General features: G+C 36.3%; 1 protein-coding gene across 12 annotated transcripts in view, besides 1 other annotated feature; it reads right to left on the reverse strand.

The window, feature by feature from the left end:
- SPOCK3 (SPARC (osteonectin), cwcv and kazal like domains proteoglycan 3) overlaps positions 1–21,114 on the reverse strand; it is a 501,562-nt gene that overhangs the window by 93,589 nt on the left and 386,859 nt on the right. The window lies entirely within an intron of this gene.
- Positions 12,678–12,977: an enhancer, noted in NCBI's record as "active region_22122". NCBI's record gives its function as "activates an Ori minimal core promoter by ATAC-STARR-seq in GM12878 lymphoblastoid cells {active_cell/tissue: GM12878}" and the evidence as "EXISTENCE:reporter gene assay evidence [ECO:0000049][PMID:35858748]".

Raw genomic sequence — 21,114 nt, forward strand, 5'->3', positions numbered from 1 at the left:
TTTGCTGGGCCCATTAAAAAAATAAAAACATGACTTTATTTCATTTTGCTTTGTTTGTTTATTAGTAATCTAAAGTTTAAAGGAAGTACAGACTCTGTCAGTGGTCCCTATATTCAATCAAACTTTATCTTTCCAATAGTGTTTTTCATTTTGCTTTTACTTTGCCAATATTTTCTGGAGCGTATAGCCTGAAAATTAGAATTAACTTACCTTTTGATAAAGAACCAATAGTGTCAAACTATATGAACTAATTCTAAGTGAAGTTTTCCTTGAATACTCAATCTTTGACAAGGGATTTAATTACTATATATCTCCTTCCTAAGAACCACCTCCTGCCTTTTGGAAAGGAGATAAGAAGAGGTAATTAAGAGATTTGCTGTTTACCTGAGATATGGATGTGTACAGCAGCTGGGAACACTGCCTGGCATGAGATAAGCAGCCAACGAATGGCAGTCATTACAATTGTTCATTGAGTTGAATAAAATGTAATAACATTTATTCAACACTTACTGTGCTATGGATTTGAATTCTCTAGTAGCAAGTTTTATTTTGTTTACAGCAACACAGAGCTGCCCTCAGTTACCACTAGGCTTTCCCATGGGAAAAATAAATGGCTCAGGTCAGTATTCAGAGAAAAGTACAGCAAAAACAACTATAACAGCATCATTTTAAGTGAGAAAAATATATTAGGACTGTACATTCTGGCCGGCTTGACTTGGCTGTTACTTGCTCTGATTAGCAGTAAATCTGCAGAGTTTGCTGAAACCAAGTGTGTTCCCCATACATTACAGCATTTTGCACCTGACACCCACTTCAAATCTGGGAGTGAGAATAATGGTCCTTATACATACCTTACTCATCAAGGGAAAAAAAAAAAAACTGTATGACTGAATGTAAATCATTCTAAGACCACATTATGAGGACATATGCTAAATATGCCTCATATATTACAGAGCATCTCTCTTTTTAATGAAAAACTTTTAGCAGCCCATAAATATGATTTAAATTTCTCCAAATCATTGAATCTGAATTGTTATTTAAAAGAAAATACATCAGAAAAATACTTAAGCAGCACAGCATTCAATGGTTTAATCATTTCCCCTTATTTCTTTTTTTATAATTACAAGCTTAATTAGTTTTAGTATAATATCTTCAGCTTTTCAAAATTTGTTGGTTGATATGTCCAATAGATTTCTTGTTACATATATTTTAAATACCATAGAACTAGACTGAATATTAATTCCTTATAAATGGAAAAATATAGAAAACAACTAGTCACAGTTTATACATTTAGTGCCATGATACATTATTTCTTCTACAATTTCATACTTAAATAATAAATTTTTATAACCTAAATTTTTCAAAATTTCCTTTGTATTCAATTAGAAAATTAGATTATTTTCCAAATGTAATTTAGCTTGCATTTACACATTTTTGTTTGACTATTTTCAGGGAAGAAAAATATTTATTATCAGCAATACATAGGAATTAGATAATATTGTGTAACTTATCATATTATGTGGGGAACAATTTTTCCCACTTTTTACTTTATACCCAGAGTTGTCTCACAGTTTCATATTACTTATCTCCCAAGGCACACACACTATTATTATATTATCATAGAGTTTAACCATATTTCTAAGATAAAAAGCTTCCTCCTTGACATTGTGGTGGTAGGAAAATGATTGTTTTGCATTGTGAAAATGCAGAATAAGCAGTTACCTGGGTCAATTCTTTGTTCATTTTAACACATTAAGAACAAAAATGTCTACAGAATATAGGATATCACATACACAGTGACTGTGGATATACAAATGTTACATTTCAATGAAGTAAGTATTTCTTTTGACCATGGATCTTTATTTCACTCAAGCTTTTCCAAAAAGGCTTGAATCCCCCAAGAGAAATGTATCTTGCTTTTAATAGAGAGGAATGTGCTGAGATGTAATATTTCTACTGAAAAGAACGATGATGCATCTACTGTTTCCCTATTAAAAATAATTTTATCTGAAATATTGAAAATCTTCTGTGTTTGCTTATGAGGATTTTAATTAGCCAATTTAAATGATATACATAACTGATAGTGGGTCTACCTGGTTTTTGCAAGTGGTTTCCACAAATCTTTACAGAAATGATGTAACCTCACCACATACACAGATTCAAGCACAAACACAGACATAGATTAGATTAGATACTGTTGATATAGATTATAAAGTATACATAACATATCAGATTAACATGGCTCGACACATCCAAAATGGTAGTAATTTTGTTTAACTGGAGATTACACTATGTAAAAGTTAGCAGATAAAGACTACCTTTGTAAAGAATGACAGCATTCATAACTAGCCAGGTGGCAGAAAATATTTCTACTCACTAACATGGTATTTTCTTTTGTAAATAGGGCTGAATATTTTATACATTTAGGGCAAAAAGACTATTAGAACTATTTTTCTGTTTTTTCCAACTTTCCAACTTGGAATTTTTTATTTGATTTACCACTTTTTTAATCAAGTAGAGCATGATTGCATTTTACTATTTAGTTATTTGCTAAAAATACTAAAACAATTCTAAAAGCACAAGCATTTTGGAAAGATCTTTTAACTTACTAATCGTCTCAATACAGAAATACTTTCTATGCAAATTTTTATTGAGGAAGTTTCCTGCTTGGTAGGACAGTCCATATTATTGATGCAAATTTAAATTGCTTAAACAAACAGGACTTATTGACTGTATCATCTACGTCTCAGATAGATAATATTGTCTTAGATAATATTGTGTAGCTTATCATAACACGTGGGCAAGATTTTTTCCCACTTACTGTTTTACACCAGGAGTTGTCTAATAGTATCTTATTACTTATCTCCCAAGGCACACAGATTATTATTATCATAAGATAAAAACAGATAAGATTCTAAGGAAAAAGCTTCCTCCTTGACACTGTGGTGGAATTGACTGTATCATCTATGTCTCTTGAAAATTTGTATTTGTGAGAATTTTAAGAATCTCATTTCTCTTTTATCTGGCAAGTATTTGAATTTTTAAATGCTCACCTTTCTGAACCAGCAATGTTTCACTGTCTTCAGACTAAATACCTTAATTTCTTATACCACTCTTCATTTTACGTAAGATATCTCTCAATCACCACCCTTTCTACTCTATGGTTTGCGTATCCTAATCTAGACACTCCCATTAAACAAGGTTGCCTTAATAACCTAATAGTAACTGTTGTCTCTTAATTTGCATATTGGAAACTATTATAAGTAAATTTGTTTTTTACATGAATTGCTTTCAAATCAGATCATTTATTTTGTCATTTCAGAAATGATTTTTAGGACTCTGAATATAAGTCTAAATAAATGTTTCTCTTCATTTAAAACTTGTTACTTTAAACATATTTCATAACTTATTTTAACAATTCTGAATCTCACTGTATCATTCATTAAAGGAACCATTCTTCTTCAGCTTGTATCATATTAAGATTCGACAAGTGCAGGGCGCAGTGTTTACTCCTGAAATCCTAGCACTTTGGGAGGCTGAGGCAAGAGGATCTCTTGAGGCCAGGAGTTCAACACCAGCCTGGCCAAAATGGCAAAAACCTTGTCTACCGAAAATACAAAAATTAGTGGCATATGCCTGTAATCCTAGATACTTGAAAGACTGAGGCATGAGAATTGCTTGAACCCTGGAGGTAGAGGTTGCAGTGAGCCAAGATCGTGTCACTGCACTCCAGCCTGGGCACAGAGTAAGACTTTGTCTCCCTCCCCGCCCCGCTCGAAAAAAAGATCCGACAATCATATCTTCTCGGTATTTTCCTATGTTTTTGGGAAAGTGTGATCAACAAGGTAGGACCAAGGACAGACTAACATCTAAAAAAAGCTAGAGAACTTCCTCAAGGAAGAAACTATTTAATTCTTTTGTAATTTCTTCATTGGTTTGTAAAAATGTCATTAAAAATTATCTCTAATCTTGAAATGAGGTGATGTGAGCCCTCCAGCACTTTTTTTTTCAAAATTATTTTGCCTGTTCTGTTTTGCTTTTTCATATATATTTTAGAATCAATTTTTCAACTTCTACCAAAAACATACAAACTAGCAAAATATCAAAAACAAATCTGTAGGAATTTTAATTTGTTATCGTGTAGAATCTACTGAAAAATTGGGGGAGAAATGGCATGTTAGCCATGTTGAGTCTTCAGATTTATTAACATGGTATATATATCTGAATTTGTTAAGTCATTTTTGATTTTGCTTATTAATGTTTGTAGCTTTCATTTAACATAGTAAGTTGTGTCAACACAAAGAGTTAACCTCATAAGGGGAGCTGGCATGTATTTCTTTATCTTTTATTGTCTAGCAAATTTGGGGTAGAAACTGGTATCATTTTTTGTTTTTTCTTAAATGTCTGTTAGAACCTGCCAGTGAAGATATCTGGGTCTGGAGTTTTCTTTGTGGGACAGTTTTTAATTACAAATTAAATTTTATTAAACTATATAGGATAAAAAAGATATACGGCTATTCAAGATATGAATTTCTTCTTGAGTAAGCATTAGTTATCTATGCTTTTTAAATTATTTGTCTATTTCATTTAACATATCAAATTCATTGAAATTAGTTGTTCACAACATACTCTCATTATCCTATTAAATAACATCTATGGTTATAATGGTAATATGTGTCTTCTCTTTTATTTTCTTGACCAATCTGAGTAGTCTTGTCTATTATATGGACCTATTTTTTTTTTTTTCGAAAACATCTTTCGGTATCATCAATGTTCTCCATTTTTGTTTTTTTTTTTTTAAATTTCATTTATTTCTGCTCTTCTCTTTAATATTCCCTACCCTCTGCTTGCTTTATATTTAATTTCCTCTTCTTTCTCTCAGTTCTTAAGGGAAAAGCTTTGACTGCTCGCGTGTCTTCTTTTGAGACTCATCTGTTCATGCTTTTTGTCTTCTTTTTAATGGGGTTACTTGTTTTTTGCTTGTCAAGTTCCTTATAAATTCTGAGTACTAGACCTTTGTCAGATATATAGTTTGCAAATGTTTTCTCCCATTCTGTAGGCTGTCTGATTAATCTGTTGATAGTGTCTTTTGCTGTGCAGAAGCTCTTTAGTTTAATTAGGTACCCTTTTTCAATTTTTGTTTTTGTTGTAATTGCTTTGGAGAACTTAGTCATCAATTACGTCCCAAGGCCAATGTCCAGAATGATGTTTCCCATGCTTTCTTTTAGGATTCTTAGTTTGAGGCCTTACATTTAAATCTTTAATTGATCTTGAGTTAATTTTTGTATATGGTGAAAGGTAGGAGTCCAGTTTCTTTCTTCTGAATATGGCTAGCCAGCAATGAAATGCCCAAGATCAGAGAAATGCAAAGCAAAACAATAATGAGGCACCATCCCACACCAATCAGAATGGCTATTATTAAAAAATCAAAAAAAAAACAACAGATGATGGTGAGGCTGAGGAGAAAAGAGAACATGTATACTTTGTTGGTGGGAATATAAATTAGTTCAGCTACTGTGGAAATCAGTTTGGAAATTTTCCAAAGAACTTAAAAGAGAACTAACATTCAACCCAGTAACCCCATTAGTGGTATATATTCAAAAGAAAATAAATTGTTCTACCAAAAAGACACACGTATATTCAATGCAGTACTATTCACAATAGCCAAGACATGGAATGAACCTAGAGATCCATCAATAGTGGATTAAAGAAAATGTGGTACTTACACATCATGGAATACTATGCAGTCATGAAAAAGAACAAAGTAATTTCCTTGCAGCAGCGTAGATGCAGCTAGGGGCTATTATCCTAAGCAAATTAATGCAGGAACAGAAAACCAAATAGTGCATATTCTCACTTATAAGTGGGAGGTAAATACTGGGTAAGCATGGACATAAAGATGGCAACAATAAATTCTGGGTCCTACTAGAGTGGGGTGGGAAGAAGGTGGACGAGGATTGAAAAACTAACTATTAGGTACTATACTCACTACCTGGGTGTCAGGATTGATTGTACCAAATACCTCAGCATCATGCAATATACTCATGTAATAAACCTGCACATGTACCCCTGAATCTAAAATTAAAGTTGATATCATTTTTAAAAAAGCAAACAAATATTATATACGTGTGTGTGTGTCTTTTTAATTTCACTTGTGACTACCACTTTAATCCATGGCTTATTTAGAAGTTTAATTTCCAAATATTTAATAATTTTTAGTTCAATTATATTTTTGTCAGATAATATACATCACATGATTTCAATTCTGTTGATGTTTGTTTAATGATCCAGATATGGGTTACTAGGTGACTATCATGTGTGCACTTAAAAAGAGTGTGTATTTTGCTCTTTGGGGTGATATGTTCAATAAATGTCAGTTATGTCAAGCTGGTTGATAGTATTATTCAGGTCTTCTATAAACTTATTGATTTTCTCAATTTTTGTAGTATTGGTTACTAAGAGGCAAATGTTGCAGTTTCCAGCTCTAATAGTGGGTATGTGTATTTCCTTTTGGTTCCTATCGGTTTTTGGTTCGTGTGCATTAAAATTATGTTGTTAGGTGCAAACACATTTGGCATTACATTTACACTTATAGTAATATTAATATGGTTGGATTTAAAGCTACCATGTGCTAGTTACATACTGCTCATTACATTCTATTTGCCCCACATATTCCCCATTCTTTTTTGCCTCTTTTTCTGCCTTTTGAATTAACTGAATTTTTATGATATCCTTTTTTCTCCACTAATGGCTTATTAGTTAAATCTCTTAGTCTTGCCTGGTGCACCTAGAACCTGTGGTGTGTCCTTTTTAGCATTCTTGCTTCTCCTCCCAGTGGTAGCCAAACTCTGTCTTCTATCTGTGGTTGCGTTTGGGCACATGTCATGTCACCTGCCCCCTCTTGGAGGAAAAGTGGTTCTTCTGCTCAAGAGCGGTTTGTTCCTCTGCTCAAGAGTGGTCTTGTCTTTCCTCATGTAGAGAGATTTTGCTTCTACTTCAGCTTTTGAAGGAAACTGGCTAAGACGGTTTCCAATATCTTACTCAGAGCAAAAACGTTTTCCTTCTACTCCTCCCCAAGAATCAAGAGTTTTTTTCCTGCTTTGGGGAGGAGGGGTGAGAGAAATGTGTTCCCCCAGAGACTTAACACTATTGCACACTTCTCTGGTCTTTTGCCCTGTCTCAGATATTTCTCTTGAGCACCAATGAAAGTCCACGGAAAATAACCTAGAATTGATTGCAAACTCTCTTTGTTTCTGTGGCTCCCAAGCATCTCAAACCAACTCATCTTGCTGTAATTGGGCTTTGCTAACTCACCTAAATCCCCAGCTTCTGATCGCTCATAGGTAGCCACCTTTTTCTCACACGCTTTGCCAAATCTGAAACAGCCCTGTGGCCTATCTTCATTGGAGAGTTCTTGCTTCTCTTTGAAATTCAGTTTATTTGATGGCTTTGCCACCACTGCTCTCTGATGAGCTCAAGAAGATTAAAAATTTTTAGAGTACCAGGCTTTTTCTCTATGGTCAGGTGAGAAAATTCAATTGGGAACCATTGTTCTTCTAGCGCTTTCTACTGCCAAGGAGAAGCCCAAGTCTGCTTTCTCATGTGAGTCTAATAGGACATTTTCTTTGGTATCTTTTATTCAAGTGTGTTTCACAAAATATCTGAACTGCTAAATAGTTTTGGAAATTAGATGAGAAAAAACAAACAAATTGAACAAAAATATTAGTCTAGAAAATGAATCCCGTTTCCCAAAATATATATGACCACAGAATTCTATATTTTGCTTGAGAAGTTTTTTTGAGTTAGGGATTCTAAGTAATGTTTTTCTCTCTCTCTTTCTCCCCCATCTTTTTTATCTCTCTTTTAATTAGAAAAATTTGACTATGTTTTGATCAATCTGTACTTCCACTGTACTCTGATTTCTCAATAATAGTTATATAAACAAATCTTTATTTTTTGTTTTACTATCCCAACACTTTCCTAGGTAAATTTGGATGGTTTTTACTCTTCCTGAACTAGATCTATGAAGATTTACCATTAATATGTAAAAATCTGAATTTGCAAAGTATAAACCGATTACCAATAAAAATATTTTTCTGTTATTCTACTGTGATATTTATATAAGTACTGTTAATAGTAACGATGTCTTACATTTATCTATAAAATTGTTACTCATCACAGAATAGTAAAGGTTTCTGAACTAATTGGCTATACTGACTTATACCTTAGAGTGTAAAGAACTATTATCATTGCTGAGATTATTTCTTCCTACAATTTAAACATCTATTAAATATTATAATGTTCAAAAAACTTTTGTCTATTTACAGAATTCATAAAGCCAAGAATGATTCTAGTGTCAACAATGACATCAGCATTTTGTTAGAAATATTCAAAAACAATATTTAAGTAGAAGACACCAAAGGAAACAAAACAAATCCTTTATTTTTTTAAACATCTGAAGTTATTTTTTGTGTTGTATCTTAAACTATTCAAAAAAAGGCTGAAAGGGAATAGCTAATGTGAAACTAGGCCTTCATTTTTCATACATCTGTATGAAACCTTCACTATTCCTCTTCTGTCAAACTATTTCTTAACTAATTTGTTAGTTATCTTGTATGTTGTTCTGTATTTTAGCTTCAGTGGGCTATACGTTTGTGGGTTCTAAACGTTGTTTATCCTTTGTAGACACTTTTTCTTCATCACCAGAGGAATTTCATGAGACAATATAAATATTCGTTCAAAAAATTCTGTTTTGGCCGGGCATGGTGGCTCACGCCAGCACTTTGGGAAGCCGAGGTGGGCGGATCACCTGAGATCGGGAGTTCGAGACCAGCCTGACCAACATGGAGAAACCCTGTCTCCACTAAAAATAAAAAAATTAGCATTAGCCAGATGTGGTGGTGCATGCCTGTAATTCCAGCTACTCAGGAGGCTGAGGCAGGAGAATCGCTTGAACCTGGGAAGTGGAGGTTGCAGTGAGCCAAGATCATGCCATTGCACCCCAGCCTGGGCAACAAGAGCAAAACTCTTGTCTCACACACACACACACAAAAAATTCTGTTTTACTATTGAAACCTTTGAGATGCCTTTAAAAAAGTGTATTGTTATGTTAACAATATGAATCTTAGCGGAGTACAATTTTATTATAACTTTTATCCTGGTCTTTCTGCTCTCAAGTTGTCTGTGTCTAATAAATAGATGAAGTGAGGACCCACTATATCCTGGGTACTTTAGCTAATTATAGTACCCCTTCTCAGTCTTTTGAGTTATTTTCTGAAAGCTTAAAGAACAAAACAGTGCAAGAATAATATAACAAAGATTCATGTATTAAATTCTCAACACGATTTTATCATTTTTTTCAGCTTTCTAAGAATTATTTTTAAAATAGCATATTACTAATATTTTGGTTGCCCATTCTTTTCATTTTCTTTAATGGCATAAATAAACAACTACAATGAACTTATATTAAAACTGCCACAAGGCATCGTTGTTTGTAGGGGTTGAGAGGAAATTTTGTTGTTGCTTTATTTTAGTTGAATCTACTGACATATTTTTTCTTATGTGACTTGAGATTTTTTGCCCTGTGAATTTACCTCAGTGAAGATTGTTTTTTGTGGCAGTTCCATTTCCTAGGTGGTAAAAATGGCCCCTATGGAGTGGTTTTTGTTTTTGCCTCATCTAGTGCCCTATGGATTTCTGTTGAACCTGGCACTCCATTCCTGAAAAGACTCTTTCCATCAAACCTTTAGTAACTCTCCTTTGAGTACTTTCTGACCAGGTTCGACCTTAGCCTGAGAAAGAATTCTGCTAAATCAATTTAGTGAAAATTCCCCGATCTTGGTATCTGACTACCATCTGTATCTTATTACCTCGGCCTACTTTCAGAGATAATTCTGATGAGTCAAACAAAAATTTCCCTTACTCCTGATGTTTTATCTTAGTAATTTTCCATTCATTAACTGGACCTTGCTACTTGGCTATCAATTCCCACTTGTCCATACTGTATTTGGAATTGAGTTCAATCTCGCTCCCATTGCAAGACCTCATTGCCATGGTTCCTATACCTGTTGCAATGGCACCTCTTGAATAAAGACTGCCTCACCATCTTTAATAAGTGCCCAGAGAGGACTTTCTCCTTCCTTATTACATCTATAAAAAGTTGGCAGGAGTTTTGTTCATTCTTCTTTAAAGATTGGGAAGTCTTTAAGATTCTTGGCTGATTTTAGGTGTGTAAGTTTTGGTTTTTTTCTTTCTGAGTAGTGTGAAGTTAGACACACCAGCTTTAGCCATTAAACCTTAATAGTTCAATGCCCCTGTGAATAATTTCAGAATAAGCCCACCAATACCTTCTGGACTTGAGCTCTATTTTATTTTAAGGTAGAGATGGTGTTTCACCATGTTCCCCAGGCTACTCTCAAACTCCTGGACTCCAGTGATCCTCTTGCCTCAGTCTCCCAAAATACTGGGATTAAAGGCATGAGCCACCACACCTGGCCTGTATAGCTTTTTACTGCTTGCTCTAGCCATTACATTATATATACAAAGCATCAATAGATTGCACTGATATTATCATTTCACTAGTTGTAAAGAACTATAGAAATTGTACTTCCCATTACATCACTTTACCTTCCCTTATGTGAGATATAACGTCGTAAATATTTCTTTATCCTGTGGACATTTAGAATCACGTTAGACAGTTATAATGTTTGCTTCTATCCTCAAACATAATTTAGAACACTCAATAGGAAAAGGAAAGTCAATTTTATTGACTTTTACTTTTTTGTACCATGTCCTTTCTTCCTTTCTGATGTTTCAATATTGTTTCCTTTAGCATTTTCTTTCTTTTTTCCAGACTTTCCTATAGTTATTCTTTTATGGAAGCTGTGGTTGCTACAAATTTTCTTAGGTTTCCTTCATCTGAAAATGTTTTGATGTTCCCTTAATTCTTGAAAGATATTTTCACTTGACAAAGGATTCTGGGTTGACAGTTCTTTTCTTTCATCTCATGATATATATCGTGTTGCTTTCTTCTTGCCCTCATCGTTTCTAATGTTATGTCCATTGCCAAACAAATTGTTTTTCCTTTATAGATAAATGTTGTTTTCCTCTCATTGTTTCCCAGATTCTTTCTTCATCTTTAGTTTTGCAGAAGTTTGACTTTGATTTGTCTTGGTGTGGATTTCTTTAGCTTTATCTTGTTTGGGGTTTGCTCAGCTTCTTGAATTAGTTTATGTCATTTGTCAAATGTGCCATTTTCCACTGTTATTTTCTCAAAAACTTTTTCAGCTCCACTTGGTTTTCCTTTTCTGTCAAAGACTCAAATGACATAAATGTTAGGTCTTTTGTGGTAGTCTCACAGATGCCTAAGGATCTGGGTGTTTTTGTTGTTTTTTGTTTTGGTTTATTTACTCTGTGTTGCTTAGATTGTATAATTTTATTACTCTATCTTTAAGTTCACTGATTATTTTTTCCTTTGTCTCCTACACTATGCTACTGAGTCAATCCATTGAGTTTTTTATTTTGGTTTTTATATTTTTTAATTCCAGAATTTCCGTTGGTTATTTTTTTACATTTTCCATTTCTTTGCTGAGACTTTCTATTGCTTTGCTGGGACTTTAGAAAAACTATTTGTTTCAAGTATGTTCATACTTGGTTACTGAAATATCTTTATCATTGCTACATTAAAATCCTTGTCATAGACCGGGTGTGGTGGCTCACGCCTATAACCCCAGAACTTTTGGGAGGCCGTGAGCGGATCACAAAGTCAGGAGATCGAGACTATCCTGGCTAATACAGTGAAACCCCACCTCTAATAATAATAATAATAATAAATTCAAAAAATTAGCTGGGCGTGGTGGCAGACACCTGTAATCCAGCTACCTGGGAGGCTGAGGCAGGAGAATCGCTTGAATCCGGGAGGCGGAGGTTGCAGTGAGCCGAGATTGTGCCACTGCACTCTAGCCTAGGCAACAAAGCAAGACTCCATCTTAAAAAAAAAAATCTTTGTCATATAGTTCTAACATATCTATCTTATGAGGATTAGTGTCTGTGGTTACATTTTTCATTCAGTCTGTTGTCTTCCTGGTTGTTGGAATGATGAGCAGCTTCCTACTGAAACCTAGACATTTGGGGTACTAATTTGTAAGACTCTGGATCTGATTCATAGTTCTATTTTAGTTGGCTTTTTCTGACACTGCTCTGGCAGAAGTCAGAGGGCCACCATCTCATTACTGCCAGGTGGTGTCAGAAGCCTGCTTCACTGTTTCATCACTGTTGACCCTGAGGAGTTGTGCCTCCTGGTTATGGATGAGTGAGAGGGGAGTTCTTATTCCTTAGTAGGCCACCACTCATATGGAATGTCTCATTGTTGTTGCTAAAATTACCTCCACTGACAACAGGAAGAAGGGGTCTCATTACCACTGGGTGGTAGTGAAAGTCTTGACTTTCCACTAGACTTCCTCTTATACCACTCTGTTTGGTAGTTAGATAGACATTAGCACAGGGTAAGAGAAGAGGGCAAAAAAGGCTGTCACTAAGGCAGACCATGGCCAGCCCACTTAAGGAGAGTCCCAGAACTGCCCTAACTCCACACTAATGGATGAAGTTCCTGGTAAAGTCTGTGGCCAGCACATCACGGAGAACGAAAAACTAGGGAAAATCTCTTAAAATGGCACAGGTCAAGTAACATAGAACTGTGTCCTCAAGTTCACCCTAAGCTCATTTACCATCATTATAATCAATTTACATGTGGTTTTACCTCCTGCCTGTGGGCTTTTCTTAACAAATTATGGGTATGAATGTGCACAGTTTAATTTTAGCTATATAACCATAAACTGCCAATCAAATGCCATCATCCTGTCACTCAGACACAGCCCAAACCACAACTCTTCCCCAGAAAACCCCCATAAAAGTCCCCTGGGTTTTGTAAAGAGGGGCTAATTTCACTTCGGGGAAATCTGTCCACTCTCCCTCTGAGGGTGTATTACTGTGCTTCAATAAACTTTGCTTTGAGCTTGCGTTTTAGTGTTTGCAATTCTTTGCTAACTATCACAAGAACTGAGATTGGTGGCCCAGAGCTTCAGCTCCATTGACCTCCTCAGTTAAAGGGTCTATCCCAATGCAGAATTCCCAGTAATATCTTCAGTAGGAAAAAGTAGTGGTACCTCATTATCTCCAGCGGAAGTGAAATCTAAGTTCTCCGTATGATTTGTATTGACACTTGAGTGTAGGGAGACTCATTTCCACCTAGTGGAGAGGAAAATTCCAGCTCCCTACACAGCATTTTTTCATAGTACTTTGGGACATAGTTGAGGTGCTTCACAATCACTTGAAAATGCTGAAAGTACAGGTTCCCCATTCAGCCTTCTCTGATTTGGGTGAATATCGTCTACATTATTTTTAAAATCTTATTTAGATGCAAGAGAGCAATTATTGTCTAAAGGTTTCTCTCTTCCTAGCTTTACCTGTCCTTGCCCTTTGGCTACAAAGAGAAAAGGGTTTAGTTGGACTTTTCTGTTTGTTTATCTGTGCTCATCATATCTGATGTTTCTGGGCTTTCTAGTTTTTGGGTTTTCTAGTTTGTCAGCTCCAAGTCTTGTTTATACAATGCAAATAAAATAAAATAAAATAAACCAGGGAACTCACCTATTCCTTGGTTCCTGAGGTCCCTAGCTAGTTGTCCACCTTCTCCCTACATTTCAGACTCATGATTTTCAGACACATAATTTTCAAATTTCTAGTTGCACTTAAGAGAAGGAATAGGAAAAGCTATGTCTAATTCATCTTCCCAGAAGCAAAAGTTTTTTTTTTTTTTTTTTTTTTTTTTAGATGCAGTCTCGCTCTGTCGCCCAGGCTGGAGTGCAGTGGCGCAATCTCGGGTCACTGCAAGGTCCGCCTCCCGGGTTCATGCCATTCTCCTACCTCAGCCTCCCGAGTAGCTGGTACTATAGGTGCCCGCCACCACGCCCGGCTAATTTTTTGTATTTTTCGTAGCGACGGGGTTTCACCGTGTTAGCCAGGATAGTCTCGATCTCCTGACCTCATGATCCGCCAGCCTCAGCCTCCCAAAGAGCTAGGATTACAGGCGTAAGCCCCCACGCCCGGCCCGCAGAAGTTTTTTTTTACTAATTTTAGAGTGATTCTTTGAGAGGAAAGAAGCAAGCCTAAGTGTTGTGGGTCTGAAGTTTACCTCTTCAATTATTGGAGACCGACATAAACACGCTAGAAACGTGGGTGCAAAAACGCTTTAAGGAGCTGTGGCAATTTAACTGAAGGTCAGTTATCAATTCCTAATTTCTTCAATCATTTCCATTTCTGTCTGTGGAGTTCCAGATGTTAGCCATACCAGTAGGATGTCACAGAATAAGAATAATAAGTGTAGATGCAAGCAAAAGAAAAACAATTTCACATAGACTTATAGAATTACAAATTGTCATTTTACAATAATTTTTAAAAAAATTTCTTAAAGTAAGAAAAAAAGATTATTTTACATTATGCACTGGCTTCTATTGTTAAAAAATAAGGAATCATTCTCTGCTTCTTCCAAATTTAAACCTATTTAGTTTTCTTGTACTTTCTAGCTCTTATTTTTGTGTCTGTCACTTTTCACTAGTTCTTATAAATATGGCCTTCCTTAATTTGCTTTCATTTCTTACTATGGAAAATTATAAAAATGTCCATAAATGCCCTTTTGCATACATGTTATTGCAAAGTAATATTACAAATCTTCCCCTGTGCCTGTGGAAGGCAGAATTCTAAGAACTTCTCCAACACTCCTACCTCCTGCTCTGTACAGCCTATATGATGCCTTCTTGAGTACGAGCAACATCAGTGACTATGATGAAATATTTCTCCCATTGTGTCTAAAATCGTTGGGTTCTTGGTTGCACTGACTTCAAGAATGAAGCCGTGGACCCTTGCGATGAGTGTTACAGTTTTTAAAGATGGTGTGTCTGTAGTTTGTTCCTTCTGATGTTCGGACATGTTTGGAGTTTCTTCCTTCTGGTGGGTCTGTGGTCTCGCTGGCTTCAGGAGTGAAGCTGCAGACCTTCTCAGTCAGTGTTAAGGCTCTTAAGGCGTTGCGTCGGGAATTGTTCATTCCTCCGGGTGGGTTTGTGGTCTCCCTGGCCTTAGGAGTGAAGCTGCAGACCTTTGCAGTGAGTGTTATAGCTCATAGAGGCAGTGCGGACCCAAAGAGTGAGCAGCAGCAAGATTTATTGCAAAGAACAAAAGAACAAAGCTTCCACGGTGAGGAAGAGGACTTCAGCACGTTGCTTTTGCTGGCTCTGGCAGCCTGCTTTTATTCCTTATCTGGCCCCACCCATATCCTGCTGATTGGTCCATTTTACAGAGAGCTGATTGGTCCATTTTACAGAGAGCTGATTGGTCCCTTTTGACAGGGTGCTGATTGGTGCATTTACAATCCCTAAGCTAGACACAGAGTGCTGATTGGTGCATTTACTATCCTCTAGCTAGACATAAAAGTTCTCCAAGTCTTCACCAGATTAACTAGACACAGAGCACTGATTGGTGCATTTACAAACCTTGAGCTAGACACAAGGTGCTGATTGGTGTGTTTACAAACCTTGAGCTAGACACAGAGTGCTGATTGGTGTATTTACAATCCTTAACTAGACATAAAGGTTTTCCAAGTCCCCACCAGAGTAGCTAGTTACAGAGTGCTGATTGGCACATCCACCAACCCTGAGCTAAACACAGAGTGCTGATTGGTGCATATACAATCCTGTGGCTAGACATAAAAGTTCTTCAAGTCCCCACCTGACTCAGGAGCCCAGCTGGCTTCGCCTGGTGGATCCTGTGCCAGAGCCGTGGGCGGAGCTGCCTGCCAGTCCCGCACTGCCGGCCTGCACTCCTCAGCCTTTGGGCAGTAGATGGAACCGGGTGCTGTGTAGCAGGGGATGGTGCCCATCGAGGGGGTTTGGGCTGCGGGGGACCCCACAGTCAGGCATGGCAGGCTGCAGATCCTGAGCCCTGCCCCGCGGGGAGGCAGCTGAGGCCCGGCGAGAATTCGAGCGTGTCCCCAGTGGGCCGGCGCTGCTGGGGGGCCTGGCGCACCCTCCGCAGCTGCTGGCCTGGGTGCTAAGCCCCTCACTGCCTAGGACCTGCCAGCCGCTCTGAGTGCGGGGCCCGCCAAGCCCGTGCCCACCCAGAACAAGCACTGGCCCGCGAGTTCCTCTCCCTCCACACCCCCCCGCAAACAGAGGGAGCCAGCTCCAGCCTTGGCCAGCCCAGAGGGTGGCTCCCACAGGGCAGAGGTGGGCTGAAGGGCTTCTCAAGCTTGGCCAGAGCGGACGCCGAGGCAGAGGAGGCGCTGAGAGCGAGCGACGGCCACCAGCACATTGTCCCCTCTCACCATGATTAGATTATGTTATCTGGCAAAGGTGAAGGGATCTTGCAGATGCAATTAAGTCTCTAATCAGCTGACTGTGAGTTAATCAAAAAGGACATCAGTACGTTTGGACCTCACCTAATAGTGAGTCATTTAAAAATGGTGTAGAATTAAGGGACAAGATACAGCAGCAAAAATTATCTTACTCGTCTTGAAAAAATAAGCCACCATGAATCTTGTAGTTTCAAGGAAATAAATTCTGCCAACCATCTGGGAGCTTGAAAGACAGCCCTGAGACTCCCACACGACCCTAGCCCTGGCCCATGCTTGATTGCAGCCTTGTGAGTACTCAAGCAAAGGATCCAGTTGGCTCTGAATCTACAGAAACTGTGATGTACTAAATGCAAGTTGTTTGAAGCCACTAAGTCGTAATTTGTTATGCAATAAGAAAATAATACATGTCTCTCTCTCTAGTTTGGCAATGTAACTTCCTTTGTCAATGGGATGTTGCCAAAGGTGACATGAACAGAGGCTTGAAAGCATCCTAAATAATGGGGCTTGAAACTCTGAGATCATCATGTAGAAAAGGCTGAGCTAGTTTCCTAGGTGATGAGAAACATGGCCTAGCTATCCTCATCATCCCAGATTACGTTGCGCTAATGACCAGGTATGTGAATGTGTCCATTTTAGACAATTCAGCCCCAGCCCAGCAACCAGCTAAGCATAAACGCAATGTGGGCCAACAGAGTGCGGCTGAGCCAGCCCAGACTGAAAGTGGTTCTAAGCCACTACAATTTGGGAAGTTACTTAGAAAAGCCCACTGATGTCTTGTGTTTCTTTGGGTCAAAAACAAATAAACAAAAGGTACCAGAATGGCTACCTGAGTTCAAATTCTACCACTGTCATTTACTAGTTACTCGACTTATATTAACCACTTTTCCCCCACCTTTAAATAGGGTATGATATGCCTACCTTAGAGTATTTTTGTAGTGACTACAGGAAATTGATGTAATACATGTCTTAGCACATACTTTATGTCATAGTCTATTCTATGAATCAACCTGGCTAGGCCATGGTATCCAGATGTTTGATAAAACATAATTCTAGATGGTTCTGTGAAGGCATTTTTTTAGATGCAATTAACAATTAAATCAGTAAACTCTGAGTAAAGAAATTACCCTTCATAGTGGGGTTGAGCCTCGTCCAATCAGCTGAAGACCATACAAGCAAAAGGTTGACTTCTTGCCAGCAGACCACCTTGGACTCAAACTGCAACACTTTTCTGGATGTCTTGCCTGCCAGTGTCTGTCTGTCTGTCTATCTGTCTCTTTCTTGATATATGTATAGATAAAGATAGATAGATGTAGATATAGATATACATATCTATACAGATATACATCTCTATACATATCTATATCTACATCTATATCTATATCTATCTATGTATCTATCTATCTACCTGCCTACCTACCTAGATCCTATTTGTTGTCTCTCTGGAGAACCCTGGCTAATACAGTGTATATACAATGAGTAACTATCATCATTTTTCCTGACTATAGTTGCTCAAAATATGCTGAAATAGCTCTCTGCTTAGTGATATCTGGTTCTAATCTTACCTGTCCGTGGTTTTTTCTTTGTTGATATTTGGATTGCTGAGGCAGAATACAAATGCATGTGCTGTTATCAAAGGTAAAAGATTTGTTAATAGGTGTAACCTAGTATGACAATTCACAAACATGATTGAATTTGCTATAATCTAAAATAATTATGTTAAACAATATAAAATTTTCTACTGTAACCCACATTATTCAGTAATATTGTACATTAAATAATTTATGAATCTTTGTGATATCACAGATAAGGATAAATTAGCTACAAGAAATCATATTTTATAATTCTAAAATGTTGAAATCATATAATAATTAGCAATTTATGACTGAACCATTTGCAAAAAGAACAATTGGTAAACCAAAATAAATTTTTCATTTTAATACATGTTTATTAATGTAAAAAAGTGACACTGGGCATATGAAATTTTAGCAGAAAAACCGTATGCCCTATACAACTACACTTCCTTGTACAAAAAAACTACAAATCTAATTGTGGCTTTAAATTATGTTAAATATTTCACTTTGTGCTATAACTTATAATCTTATATTTTTTCTCATATTTCAGAAAAAAAATACTTCCTGAGTACTGTTTAAGTGATTGAAGGAATTTTGAAGTAGTTTCTATTTTGTAAACAATGTCTCTAGGAGAACAAACAAACCAACTTTACCAGAGGGTAGAAAACAGGGTTGGGAGCTCAGTTTGCAAATGGCCAGAACATCTCTTTTGTAATTACCAAGCAATAGTTCAACAACTTCAAACACGTAATCTAAAAAGCCCTCTTCTGAATTTTTCCCACCAAGTTATTAACTAGGTGATTTTTAAAGCAATGGGACAAAAAATTACTTTAAGATGCAATAAAATTAGCTGTATAATGGTATGCAGTCACATGTCACTTAATTATGGGAATAGGTTATGAGAAATGCATCCTGAGGTGACTTGGTCCTTTCGTGAACATCACAGAATGCACTTACCTAAGCCTAGAGAGTATACCCTGTATGGTAAAAGCTATTGCTGCTAGGCTACGAACTTGCACAGCAAGTTTGTACTCCTGTACTGAATAGTGTAGGCAATTAAAACACAATGGTAACTATTTGTGCATCTAAACAAGTCTAAACATAAAAAAGGTAATGCTTTGAGCTAAGACTAAATGAGGGCTATAACCTCACTAGGAAATAAGAATATTTCAGCTCCATTATAATCTATGAGACCATCTTTATATATGCCATCCATCCTTGACTGAAACGTTGTTATGTGGTACCTGACTTCTTTTTGGTCTGCCAGGGATTATGGCTAAGAAGGAAAATTAGAGAAATGCTATTAATATACTAAAGGTGTAAGAATATAGCAAAAAAATGTTTAGTATGTTTCTATCATTTGCCTTTTAAGTGACAGATTCATATTTGTTCATTATGTAAAAAATACATGATATAAATGTAAGTAATATTATCATATATAATTTTAGATATTGTAGATTAATAGATTATCCTTTTTATTAATTTGGACTAATACTGTAGTCCAAACATCCTAACAGTGAATAGGAATAAATATGGTTGAAAAAATATTTGTGATTCATCCTAAGTGACAAAAAAGATGTCTAATGTTTAATATTTGAGGCACAAACCAAAACATCATTGGTCATACATTTTTGTCAGACAGTTGGTAAAATACTTTAAAGCCTGTTTTTATTTTTGGACATTAGCTCACTTTAATTCACATACCTGAAATTGGTATACTGTAATACCCTAAGTAAATAATAAGAGCTTAATACTGTAGTGTTATGTTTTATTTATATTTTAATGATTTGGGTGTAATTTCTTAGGTCTCTGGTAATTTGCAAGGCAATTTAAAAATTTTCAATAGCCTAACAGAATATTGTAGTCTTTAATGACATATTTAAGAAATGAACCAGAAGATTTAAAAAGAAAATTGATTCCTGATTTTCCAAGAAATGTACACAAAACAGTATCAACCCAGGTAAATGTTCCAAAAATGTGGTTAAATTATAAAGTACATTAAACCAAATCTATCTCACAGGAAGAAAGCCTGTGCTTAATTTTGTCAAAAAGTTGCCTTTTGACAAAAGTAAAATGCTACCCTGTGAGTAAGCAAAATAATCCCACTAGCCATCAAGAGATCTATTAAAAAGAAAAGTGAAAGAAGAAAACAAAAATCAAGCATTCATTTACATCAAAATGGAAGACTGATATGTCATCCTGTACTGCAAAAGTCTGGTCATATGATGGAGGAAATAAGACAGATGTAAGTTTCTTTTTCAAGCTAAGTGCTTTTCATTTACCAGTTGGCAGGCCATTTGGGAGGAGCTAAGCAACTTTGGAGATTCCTTTTATTTTATTATTCAGTCAGATATGTAGTATAGGGAGACTTGTTAAACATTTACTGAATTTCTGCCTTCAGGCCAATTATTTATATAAATTAAAGGTTTCTGAGGAATGCAACATATCAAGATGTTATATTTTCTAATATCATAAGGCACCTGAATACACTAAACTTGCAATTCTGAGGGAAAAAGCATTGATGCTCTGTTCAGGAATATGCAGATATTTATACCTGGACACAGTGTTGTGATGGTATGAGCAGCACTGGAGATTATGCTCATAACACATTAGTAAGCTACCTTCATGCTGTCCTAGAATTTGGAGAAAGTAGAGCATTTTTGGGTAAAATTAAGCCACAATTCAAAAGGAAAATCCTAGTTTATATATATATATATATATATATATATATATATAAGAATCATGTTTACTTTTTTTTACAGCTTGCAATGACAATTTTCAGGATTATTTTAATAATCCAACACCAGCCATCTCTGTATAGGTCAGCTTTAAAAAGACTGATTAGGCAGAAATTGCTCTATATACAATGAAATAAAACAGAAAAACAAAAGGAACATCACTAAAGTTTTGATAATTCAGATGTCAAGCACGTAATAATTCAAAGACTTCTAGTTATGCAGCCAAACTGGCAGAAGATTTGTATCATCTGCATTCTGTGAACATTTCATGAACCTACTAAAATCAAAGCTAGAAACCATCTGGCTTGTAACCCAAAATCAAATCACAATCAAGTTTCCTACAAATTACACACAATAGTTCTTAAAATTCAGAATGTTGGATGGTGGTGTTCTCATGGAAACT

The sequence above is a fragment of the Homo sapiens genome, chromosome 4 (genome assembly GCF_000001405.40).
Source record: "Homo sapiens chromosome 4, GRCh38.p14 Primary Assembly".
NCBI lineage: Eukaryota > Metazoa > Chordata > Mammalia > Primates > Hominidae > Homo > Homo sapiens.